The 12,207-nt window shown below is 47.0% G+C and overlaps 1 protein-coding gene across 1 annotated transcript in view, besides 2 other annotated features; it reads right to left on the bottom strand.

Moving 5' to 3' along the window:
- Nucleotides 1–12,207, bottom strand: part of DHRSX (dehydrogenase/reductase X-linked) — a 281,471-nt gene that overhangs the window by 26,424 nt on the left and 242,840 nt on the right. The window lies entirely within an intron of this gene.
- Nucleotides 6,864–7,374: an enhancer, noted in NCBI's record as "H3K27ac-H3K4me1 hESC enhancer chrX:2170834-2171344 (GRCh37/hg19 assembly coordinates)". NCBI's record gives its function as "activates a minimal SCP1, AML or CMV promoter by ChIP-STARR-seq in primed H9 embryonic stem cells {active_cell/tissue: H9 hESC(primed)}" and the evidence as "EXISTENCE:reporter gene assay evidence [ECO:0000049][PMID:30033119]".
- Nucleotides 7,375–7,883: an enhancer, noted in NCBI's record as "H3K27ac-H3K4me1 hESC enhancer chrX:2171345-2171853 (GRCh37/hg19 assembly coordinates)". NCBI's record gives its function as "activates a minimal SCP1, AML or CMV promoter by ChIP-STARR-seq in primed H9 embryonic stem cells {active_cell/tissue: H9 hESC(primed)}" and the evidence as "EXISTENCE:reporter gene assay evidence [ECO:0000049][PMID:30033119]".

Genomic DNA, 12,207 nt, shown 5'->3' on the forward strand with positions numbered 1-12,207 from the left:
CCAGCCTGGGCAAGAGAGTGAGACTCCATCTCAAAAAAAACAAAAAAACAAAAAAACACACAAACAAAAAAAAAACAAGCTGTGACCTGACCACGTTGCACACGTCATCAGGACTTTCTGAGGCTATGTCACAGGCTCACGTCCTTAAATTTGGCAAAACAAACTCTAAATTAACTGAGACCTGTCTCAAATTTTCAGGGTTCACAAAGCCATCTCAGATATAGTTTGAATATCAGCATGATATTTATGCTAAAAAACTAAAGATAAGATCAAAAAGCCTAAAAGAATGTTTAACACATTCAAAAGATCAAAAGAAAGACATCCGTCATCATATGCGTTTCAGAAAAAGCTTCTGAAAATCCAATGCCTCTTACCAACAAAAGCTGTTCCTAAATAAGAATACAATATTGAGGGCTGGGTGCGTTGGCTCATGCCTGTAATCCCAGCGCTTTGGGAGGCTGAGGTGGGCAGATCACCAGGTCATGAGTTTGAGACCATCCTGGTTAACATGGTGAAACCCCATCTCTACTAAAAATACAAAAAATTAGCTGGACGTGCTGGCGGGTGCCTGTAGACCCAACTACTTGGGAGGCTGAGGCAGGAGAATCACTTGAACCCGGGAGGTGGAGGTTGCAGTGACACGAGATCACGCCATTGTACTCCAGCCTGGGCAACAGAGTGAAAGTCTGTCAAAAAAAGAAAGAAAGAAAGACAGAAAGAGAGAAAGAAAGAAAAGAAAGAAAAGAAAGAAAGAAAAAGAAAAGAAAAGAAAGAAAGAGAAAGAAAGAAAGAAAGAAAGAAAGAAAGAAAGAAAGAAAGAAAAAGAAAGAAAATAAAAGAATAGAAAATTGAAATAAATGAAGTAAACTTTGACCTAAGGATCTGGAGAAGAAAAATGAAAATGCTTTCCTAAGGAAAACACATAAAAGAAAACCAAAAAGATCAAAGCAAATGAGAAATACAGAAAGAAAACAGTATAAACATAAATGATACCACTGGGGAACAGAGACTGATGTTGGTTTTTGTTGTTGTTGTTTGAGAAGGAGTCTTGCTCTGTCACCCAGGCTGGAGTGCAGTGGCGCCATCTCAGCTCACTGCAACCTCTGCCTCCTAGGTTCAAGCAATTCTCCTGCCTCAGCCTCCTGAGTAGCTGGGATTACAGGCATACACCACCATGCCCAGATAATTTTTGCATTTTTAGTAGAGACGGGGTTTCATCAGGTTAGCCAGGCTGGTCTGGAACTTCTGACCCCAAGTGATCCACCCACCTTGGCCTTCCAAAGTGCTGGGATTACAGGTGTGAGCCACTGTACATGGCCCTGGTATTGGTTTCTAAACCTCCTCTCCCTGTTATAAAATGTCCAATATACACTATATTTTGCAGATGAAAAGTAGAATATTACAATTACAGAGCAGACCCTGAAACTATAAAAAAAAAATTAGGGCTGGGTGCAGTGGCTCACACCTCTAATCCCAGCACTTTGGGAGGCCGAGATGGGCAGATCCCGAGGTCAGGAGATCGAGACCATCCTGGCTAACATGGTGAAACCTCGTCTCTACTAAAAAAACAAAAAATTACCCGGGCATGGTGGCGGGCGCCTGTAGTCCCAGCTACTCGGGAAGCTGAGGCAGGAGAATGGCGTGAACCCGGGAGGCGGAGCTTGCAGTGAGCCGAGATTGCGCCACTGCACTCCAGCCTTGGTGATAGAGTGAAACTCCGTCTCACAAAAAAAAAAAAAAAAAAAAAATTAGATACCCTCTATATTCATGTATTCATTTTTTCATAAAATAAATGAACAAAACCAATAATGCATGCCTATGCTGGGGCTCAGAGAACAGTAACCTAAAATGAAGACCTCAGAAGCAGCATCAGAAGCAAACCTTTCTTGCTGACCTTCTCCTACCCTCCTGTCTCTCAGACCCATTTCGCCCCAAGGGCACCACGGAAACTGGAATCCTTCTTCCCCAAGGTGGGTCCCGAAAACCAAAGCACCTTTCCCCCAAGGCCAGCCAGAAACCCTATAAATAGGACTCTAAGTTTCCCTACACCCTGAGTATATAAAAACTCGCCATAAAGAAATTTCCTATCATCGTGCAGTGGCTCACGGCTATAATCCCGGCACTTTGGGAGGCCAAGGCAGGTGGATCACTTGAGATCAGGAGTTCGAGACCAGCCTGCCCAACACAGGGAAACATCACCTCTACTGAAAATACAAACATTAGGCCGGGCACGGTGGCTCACGTCTGTAATCCCAGCACTCTGGGAGGCCAAGGTGGGCAGACCACAAGGTCAGGAGATCGAGACTATCTTGGCTAATACGGTGAAACCCGGTCTCTACTAAAAATACAAAAAATTAACTGGGTGTGGTGGTGGGCGCCCGTAGTCCTAGCTACTTGGGAGGCTGAGGCAGGAGAATGGTGTGAACCCAGGAGGCGGAGCTTGCAGTGAGTGGAGATTGCGCCACTGCATTCCAGCCTGGGCGACAGAGCGAGACTCTGTCTCAAAAAAAAAAAGAAAAAAGAAAATACAAACATTAGCCAAGTGTGGTGGCGGGCACCTGTAGTCCCAGCTACTCGGGAGGCTGAGGCAGGAAAATTGCTTGAACCCAGAAGGTGGAGGCTGCAATGAGCCAAGATTGCGCCATTGCACTCCAGCCAGGGCGACAAGAGCAAGACTCTGTCTCAAAAAAAAAAAAAGAAAAAGAAAAGAAAAGAAAAAGAAAGAAAAGAAAAGGAAAAGGAAATTCCTTGACCTGCCTTGTTTGAATGTAGGTTCTACGACCCCCTTCCCAGAGAGGGTCCCACCCCACCCCCAGAAGGAAGGCGCACTGCTCAGAGGCCAAAAAAATCTAGACAGGCCTGTCTGTTTCCCCACTCAGACCGTCAGCCTTAGATCACACCCTCTTCCTCCAATCCTATTCCTACACGGATTTCGTTCAGACGTCGTTGAACCTAAGCATAAAAATAGACGGTTTCCCCTGCATCTTTGGGTCTTCCCTCTGAAGGCTGCTGTATGTATCCATCGAGTAAACTTTGTATGCCTTTTCTCCTATTCATCTGCTTTTGCAAGTTGATTTTTCAGCTTGCAAAATCAGAGGGAATGACCCTCCATCTGTTCTCCTATCACACTGTCATCATTTCCACTGTGAAGAACATGGGGAAAACTGGCCAGACAACCAAAGGAAGGGCGTGCACATACATTTGCACATCTTTTGGGAGAGCAACTTCACAACATGCAACTCAATCTTTAAAATCATAAATCTTTTTTTTTTTTTTTTTTTGAGACAGAGTCTTGTTCTGTCGCCCAGGCTAGAGTACAGTGGCACAATCCTGGCTCACTGCAACCACCCCCTCCTGGGTTCACACCATTCTCCTGCCTTAACCTCCTGAGTAGCTGGGACTACAGGCACCTGCCACCATGCCCGGCTTTTTTTTTTTTTTTGTATTTTTAGTAGAGACGGGGTTTCACCGTGTTAGCCAGGATGGTCTCGATCTCCTGACCTCGTGATCTGCCCACCTCGGCCTCCCAAAGTGCTGGAATGACAGACGTGATGTGAGCCACCACGCTCAGCCCTTTTTGTGCCTTTTTTTTTTTTTTTTTTTTTTTTTTTTGAGACAGAGTCTCGCTCTGTAGCCCAGGCTGGAGTGCGGTGGCGCAATCTCAGCTCACTGCGACCTCCACCTCCCGGGTTCAAGTGATTCTCCTGCCTCAGCCTCCCAAGTAGCTGGGACTACAGGCGCCTACCATCACGCCCAGCTAATTTTTGTATTTGCAGTAGAGATGGGGTGTCACTGTGTTGGCCAGGCCAGTCTCGAACTCCTGACTTCAAGTGAACCGCCCGCCTTGGCCTCCCAAAGTGCTGGGATTACAAGCGTGAGCCAACGCACCTGGCCTATGAATATCTTTTAGTAACATCACTACTTGAAATTGATCTTAAAAAAATAAACCTTGGGCCAGGCATGGTGGCTCACGTCTGTAATCCCAGGACTTTGGGAGGCCAAGGCTGGCAGATCACGAGGTCAGGAGATCGAGACCATCCTGGCTAACACGGTGAAACCCCGTCTCTATTAAAAATACAAAAAGTTAGCCAGGAGTGGTGGCGCATGCCTGTAATCCCAGCTACTTGGGTGCTGAGGCAGGAGAATCGCTTGAACCCGGGAGGTGAAGATTGCAGTGAGCCGAGATCACGCCACTGCACTCCAGCCTGGGCAACAGAGTGAGACTCCATCTCAAAAAAAAAAAAAAAAAAAATTAAGCATTGATTCAAAAAGTCTTTTCTGGCTGGGTGCAGTGGCTCACATCTGTAATCCCAGCAGAACTTTGGGAGGCAGAGGTGGGCGGATCACCTGATCCTTTCAGGGGTTTGAAAGGGTTCTTGGATCTCGTGAGAAAGAACTCCGAGTGGGTCCATAGAGTAAAGTGAAAGCAAGTTTATTATGAAAGTAGAAGAATAAAGAATGTGTACTCCATAGATGGAGCATCCCGAGAGCTGCTGGTGGCCTATTTTTATGGTTATTTCTCTATCATATGCTAAACAACGGGTGGATTACTCATGAGTTTTCTGGGACAGGGGTGACCAATTCCCGGAGCTGAAGGTTCATCCCCCTTTTAGACCATGTCATGGCATCTGTAAACCGTCTCTTATCAGCTAATGCATTAGAATTAGCGTATCATGACCAGAGAGGATGACCAGAGGTCAGTCGTCACCATCTTGGTTTCGGTGGGATTTGGCTGGCTTTACCACAACCTGGTTTATCAGCAGGGCCTTTGTGACCTGTGTCTTGTGCTGACCTCCTCTGTCATCCTGTGACTTAGAATGCCTCATCCACCTCCAGAGAAGGCAGCCCAAGCAGGTCTCAGCCTCATGTTACGCAGCCCCTATTCAAGATGGCAGAGTTGCTCTGGTTCTAATGCCTCTGAAAAATTTAGGGGATTGTTTTCTGAGCCCCAACACTGTGATCTTAGCAACTGAGCAATTTTCCCACCTTCATGTAACCAAAGACAGAGTGGATCACAGAGCTTGGAAAGCTCGTACCCGGGAAATCGCAGCCTGCAGCTGACATGTTCTGAGATGTGCCTTGCCGTTGTGCAAAAGGCATGTTTGAATGCTTGCATGAGGACAAGTGACTCCCCCATTAACACCTCCAGGGGCTCAGTTCTGCCTCCAGCCACTGTCTCATCACGCAGCCATGGGTAGCAGAAAGCCACATGCCAAAATCTGACATCGGGCCTGTAAAAAATAAAGGTTCCTGTTCAAAGACTTTCCTCCCCATCTAATTAGGAATAAATAGTAACTTCTCTGAGAAGCAAACTTCATTCAAAGACTTGTGCTAACATTCCTAAATATCTGCTAGCCGTGATAAAGAAATCAATGTACTTTATGCTCTTAGCTCCCACAATTTAACCTAAGTATCAGCCCTGGCATGCTTATACTGGTCCAAGCAAGCATTACGTCACAGCCTGTTCCTCTTCTTTATCTAAAAGTGCTTTTTCCTTTCTCAGCATTCCACAAGTTACTTCCTCCTTCCTTTGTTCTCCTCTGCCTTTGCCTCTTTTAAATAGTTCCAAGGTGCTGGCCAATCGGGACAAATACAGAATGTGAGGTCCCATTCCAGCCCTGGAAACTGGACACAGCAGTAGGGCGGACGCATCAAGTGATAAATGACCCTGTCCCCTTTGTTCGCTGTACTCTCCTGGCAAAACTGCTGGAGAGTGTACCCTTTCTGCAGAAAGTAAAAAAAATGGCCTTGCTGAGGAAATTAATGTTCAAGTGCTATTTCTTTATGGCACTGGGGAACAAGCATTTCAAACAGACCTGAGGTTTACCCGATTTCTGCTGGAAAAGAAACCTCAGGTCTGCTGCCTTAGAAATAAATAAGGGCAGGACAGAAAGGGTGACAAGGGGGTCCTTAGCCATGGAGACTTTGCAAAATAATGAACAATCAAAACATAACTTTTTGGGGGTTGGGGTGGGGTAGGAGGGGACTGGAAAGGCTGACTGCATAATAAAGAGATTGGAAGAATTGGCTGGGTATGGTGGCTTATGTCTGTAATCCCAGCACTTTGGGAGGCTGAGGTGGGTGGATCACCTGAGGCCAGGAGTTCGAGACTAGCCTGGCCAACATGGTGAAACCCCGTCTCTACTAAAAATACAAAAATTAGCAGGGCGTGGTGGCAGGTGCCTGTAATCCCAGCTACTCGGGAGGCTGAGGCAGGAGAATCCTTGAACCCGGGAGGTAGAGGTTGCAGTGAGCTGATACCACGCCATTGCACTCCAGCCTGGGTGACAAGAGCAAAACTCTGTCTCAAAAATAAATAAATAAAAAGAAATCTAAGAGACTGGAAGAATTAAGACAGGGAAATTGAGTAGTTCAGAGCTGAAGTCCCATCTCTGATCCAAGATAAACTGTAAACCTCCAATTACTGTCAAGATATCTTTTTAAGGCAAACTTCTCCAATCTCCTCACCCCAGGGGAAGAGAAGAGTCCAGGAAACAGATAGTTACTAAGTGCAGAGAGGCAAAGACTGGCTTTCCTGCTGGCATGATCGTTTTTTAAATATCAGCTACAAGCATTCGGTTCTGAATCTCCAGCATTTGATTGATGGGTAAGAGGAATGGTTACTTGAAAAAGCAGAAAATGCATCATCCAAAGGCAGATTTTTCCAGAGTAAATGGAGGGGTTGGTTCTGTAATTATGGTTTTACACAGTAGCGTGGAGAAGAGAGAACTAAGATTGTTTAAAAATACGGTGTGGGGGCAGGCGAAAAGCCAATACATTTCTCTACAGGAGGTGAAGAAATGAATCCAAGAGGGGCACGTAGTTTCAGGAGAGATTCCCTGGGGTGGGGGTTAGGGATGAAGAAATATCCACCCCAGAAATGGGAAAGAATGAAAGCAAATACGTAGGAGGAAATGCCCATTAAGGTCTGTAAATGAAACCCTAAGGACTCTGACAAAAGTCGTTGGTATTAGGCCGGGAGTGGTGGCTCGCGCATGTAATCTGAGCACTTAGGGGACACTAAGGCAGGCAGGTCGCTTGAGCCCAGGAGTTCAAGACCAGACTGGGGAGTATAGTAAGACCTTATCTCTACAAAAAATACAAAAAGTACCTGGGTGTGGTAAAGCACACCTGTAGTCCCAGCTAATTGTGAGGCTGAGGTGGGAGCAGATCATTTGAGCCTGGGAGGCGCACATGGCAGCAAGCCAAGATAGCGTCACTGCACGGCCTGGGAGGCAGATATGGCAGTGAGCCAAGATGGCGCCACTGCACGGCCTGGGAGGCGGACATGGCCTTGAGCCAAGATGGCGCCACGGCACTCCAGCCTAGGAGGCGGACGTGGTCGTGAGCCAAGATGGCGCCACGGCACTGCAGCCTGGGAGGTGGACATGGCCTTGAGCCAAGATGGCGTGGCCGCACTGCAGCCTGGGAGGCGGACATGGCCGTGAGCCAAGATGGCGCCACGGCACTCCAGCCTAGGAGGCGGACATGGCCGTGAGCCAAGATGTCGCGGCCGCACTGCAGCCTGGGAGGTGGACATGGCAGTGAGCCAAGATGGCGCCACCACACTCCAGCCTGGGAGGCGGACATGGCCGTGAGCCAATCAGCAAAGATGGCGCCACTGCACTCCAGTCTGGGTGAGACAGGGAGACTGCCAAAAAACAAAATGAAACAAAAAATCATTCAATGAGCTTTCCTGTTGAATAAGAAACTGAACAAAAGCCACCTGCTACTAAATCTGGACCTTATAAAAGGGTATTTGAGTTCTCCATTTTTTGCTGATTAAAGCATTACTCTCTTCTTGTTATTAAAAATCGTGAAGACTGAACATACTTTTGAGTGTTTATAAGACCGGGCGCGGTGGCTCACGCCTGTAATCCCAGCACTTTGGGAGGCCGAGGCGGGCGGATCACGAGGTCAGAATATCGAGACCATCCTGGCTAACAGGGTGAAACCCCGTCTCTAATAAAAATACAAAAAAATTAGCCGGGTGTGGTGGCAGACGCCTGTAGTCCCAGCTACTCGGGAGGTTGAGGCAGGAGAATGGCGTGAACCCGGAAGGCGGAGCTTGCAGTGAGCTGAGATCACACCCTGCACTCCAGCCTGGGCAACAAAGCAAGACTCTGTCTCAAAAAAAAACAAAAAGAAAGGAGCCCTTTATAAGTTATTGTGATGGATACTGTAGGATGTAAACGTGTCATATCTCGGTCTCCCAACAGCCAGTCTCCGTAGGCGGTGTCCTTTTATATGGATCAACAGGCAGTTTTTGCATTGATTATTTATCCACTTTGAGAGGTACTTGTGTAGAAGCAAGGACAACTGAGTTTTTATGTTAACTTCCTACGAATCCGTTGCATTGCAACGTATTTCCATTGCAGGACATTGTTGCATAATCAAATTGCCAATGCAATTAGGGAAACTCAATCGACTGCTCATAACCTAGTTGACTGGAGCTATTTTTCCAGTGCTCATTAAACCTGATGACAATCACTGTTTTAATGAGTAAGTATGGGTGGCATTCAATATATTTATAAGTATTATAACAATCCTTCATGTCTAAATTGAATTTTCCCTTTGGCAGTACAAACAACTCCATTACATTCTTTCTAGGATATCTACGCTTAATATTCTTGATAACTATCATCTACATTTAATATTCTTGATAACGATCCGCCTACCAGGAACTCAGAAAATACTGCGAATAAAGAGAGGTTTTTTTTGTTTGTTTGTTTTTTTGAAACAGGGTCTCGCTCTGTTGCTAGGGTGGAGTGCAGTGGTGCGATCTCGGCTCACTGCAATCTCCGCCTCCCGGATTCAAGTGATTCTCCTGTCTTAGCCTTCCGAGTAGCTGGGACTACAGGTGCCCGCCACCACACTCAGCTAATTTTGGTATTTTTAGCACAGTGGGGTTTCACCACATTGGCCAGGATGGTCTTGATCTCCTGACCTTGTGATCCACCCCCTAGGCCTCCCATAGTGGTGGGATTACAGGTGTGAGCCACTGTGCCTGCCCCACGCCCCCCCCCTTTTTTTTCTTTTTTTTTTTTTGAGAGGGAGTCTTGCTCTGTTGCCCAGGCCGGGCTGGAGTGCAGTGCTATGATCTTGGCTTGCTGCAACTTCCACCTCCCGGGTTCAAGTGATTCTCCTGCCTCAGCCTCCTGAGTAGCTGGGACTACAGTCACCCGTCACCACACCCAGCTAATTTTTGTATTTTTAGTAGAGACGGGTTTTTACCACATTGGCCTGGATGGTGTCGATCTCAAAGAGAGGTCTTTGACTTTTTCCGCTAAGAGAAAACAACCAAAACAACACAGGACATTGCAGGTATCTTGTGAATTCCAGCTGCATCCAAACACCCTGATACTTTCGCTCATAGACACATAGTGAGTGTGTCAGCTGTCCGACATATCTCAGAACACAGGGGGAACATGTGAAACCTTGAGTGAAATCCGAATCGAGATGGGATACCACACTCAAAACACGTTACACAACTTAGTCTATACTGGATGATTTCACGGGATGTGAATTCATGGTTAGGAATAAAATAATGAAGAAGTCACCCAAAGTTACATAAGTTGAGAAACTCAAACCAAGACAGCCATGTTCACAGTGAGGCACGCCCATGCCTATAACAACTCCATGACTGAGGGACGTCAGAGTGAAATAAAGAATTTCTTAAATAGGTAGAGAATCTATCATGGCCAGGCACGGTGGGTCACACCTGTAATCCCAGCACATTGGGAAGTCGAAGTGGGCAGATCATTCGAGGTCAGGAGTTCGAGACCAGCCTGACCAACATGGTGAAAACCCAGCTCTACAAAAAAAAAACACAAAAATTAGGTGGGCATGGTGGCGGTGCCTGTAGTCCCAGCTACCCGGGAGGCTGAGACAGGAGAATCACTTGAACCCACGAGGCAGAGGTTGTAGTGAGCTGAGATTGCGCCACTGCACTCCAGCCTCGATGCCTGGGTGACAAAAGCGAAACTCTGTCTCAAATAAAATAAAATAAAACAAAACAAATTTAAGGGTCTCACAGGAAAGAAATCTTAAAGAATAGAAAATGATTTTGGAAGGTATGTGTCCCTCTTTTTTTTTTTTTTTTCTCTCCAGGCTGGAGTGCAGTGGTGCGATCTTGGCTCATTGCAACCTCCACCTCCCCGGTTCAAGCAATTCTCCTGCCTCAGCCTCCCCAGTAGCTGGGACTACAGGGACATGCCACCATGCCTGGCTAATTTTTTATATTTTAGTAGAGACGGGGTTTCACCATGTTGGCCAGGATGGTCTTGATCTCCTGACCTTGCGATCCACCCCTCTCAGCCTCCCAAAGTGCTGGGATGACAGACTTAAGCCACTGTGCCTGCCCTTTTTTTTCTTTTTTTGAGAGGGAGTCTTGCTCTGGAGTGCAAGCTGGGCTGGAGTGCAGTAGCATGATCTTGGCCCACTGCAACCTCCACCTCCCGGGTTCAAACAATTCTCCTGCTTCAGCCTCCAAAGCAGCTGAGATTACAGGCACATGCCACCATGCCTGGCTAACTTTTGCATTTTTAGTAGAGACGGGGTTTCCCCATGTTGACCAGGCTGGTCTCGAACTCCTGACCTCAGGTGATACGCCCGCCTCGGCCTCCCAAAGTGCTTTCTATTGAAATTTATTTCACCATGGGGATGATTCGGTACAGCCAAGTTGAGGAGACATGTTCTCTCATGTGTAAAAACTCTTGGATTTTTGGAATATGTTACAACACTGTGATTTATTCCTTTACAAGAACGCTAATTTTCCAAGCCAGTAAATCAATCTTGGCAATTAACACTAATTACTGGCAATGATTATATCAGGCAAAAGCCAAGAACCACATCTTTCATCCAAAAAAAAAAAGCAGTATATTTTAAATTCAAGTGGTTCTCATATTTTAGCATGCATCAGAATTCCCCCAAAGACCTTCTCCTTGCCAACCCCTGTTCTCCAAACTTCGGGTTTAGGAGATCTGGAGGATGGTCTGAGAATGGGAGCATCTTCATTTCTTTTTTCTTTTTCTTTTTTAAGACAGAATCTTGCTTTGCAGCCCAGGCTGGAGTGCAGTGGTGCGATCTTGGCTCACTGCAACCTCTGCCTTTCGAGTCCCAGTTGAAGCAATTATCCTGCCTCAGCCTTCCGAGTAGCAGGGATTACAGGTGTGCACCCCCACGCCCAGCTAATTTTTGTATTTTTAGTAGAGATGGGGTTTCTCCATGTTGGCCAGGCTGGTCTTGAACTCCTGACCTTGTGATCCACCTGCCTCGGCCTCCCGAAGTGCTGGGATGACAGGCGTGAGCCACCATGCCCGGCCCACTCACCATATATTTACTGAACTTCAGTCATATGTGACGCAGGGATGACACAAGAACAGAAAAATCAGGGAGATGGAGACGGAGCTAACCACGGAAGCTGAAGTTCGTCGGCCAGATGGCCCAATGCACAATAATTCGGGGAACACACATCCAGGCAACTGCACCTGACTGGGAATACCTGGCTGTCCTACCACCATCTGGTCATCTAGGGGCTCCTACAGTAATACAGAAGACGCCGGCTGAGGCGTGTTCTATTCTACCAAGGGGACCTGGGCGTATCTCATGGACTGAATTACGTCTCCCCAGATTCCTATGAAGTTCTAACTCTGAGGAACTCAGAAAGATGACCTTATTTGGAGATAGGGTCCTTTTATTTTATTTATTTTTTGAGACAGAGTTTCGGTCTTGTCACCAAGGCTGGAGTGCAATGGTGCAATCTTGGCTCACTGCAACCTCCGCCTCCCGGGTTCAAGCGATTCTCCTGCCTCAGCCTCCCCAGTAGCTGGGGTTATAGGCACCTGCCATGGCGCTTGGCTAATTTTGTATTTTTTAAGTAGAGACGGGGTTTCACCGTGTTGTCCAGGCTGGTCTTGAACTCCTGACCTCAGGTGATCCACCTGCCTCAGCCTCCCAAAGTGCTGGGATTACAGGCATGAGCCACCATGCCCGGCCGGAGATGGGGTCTTTAAAGATGCGATTCAGGTAAAATGAGGTCACTAGGGTAGGTACTGATCCAATAGGACTGAGGTCCTTATAAGAAGAGGAGATGAGGACACAGACACACACAGAGGGACAACCAAGTGAGGACACAGGGCGATGATGACATCTCCAAGCCCAGGAGAGAGGCCTGAGGAGGAACCAGCCCTGCTCACACCTTGATCT

The sequence above is a fragment of the Homo sapiens genome, chromosome X (assembly GCF_000001405.40).
Source record: "Homo sapiens chromosome X, GRCh38.p14 Primary Assembly".
Taxonomy (NCBI): Eukaryota; Metazoa; Chordata; class Mammalia; order Primates; family Hominidae; genus Homo; species Homo sapiens.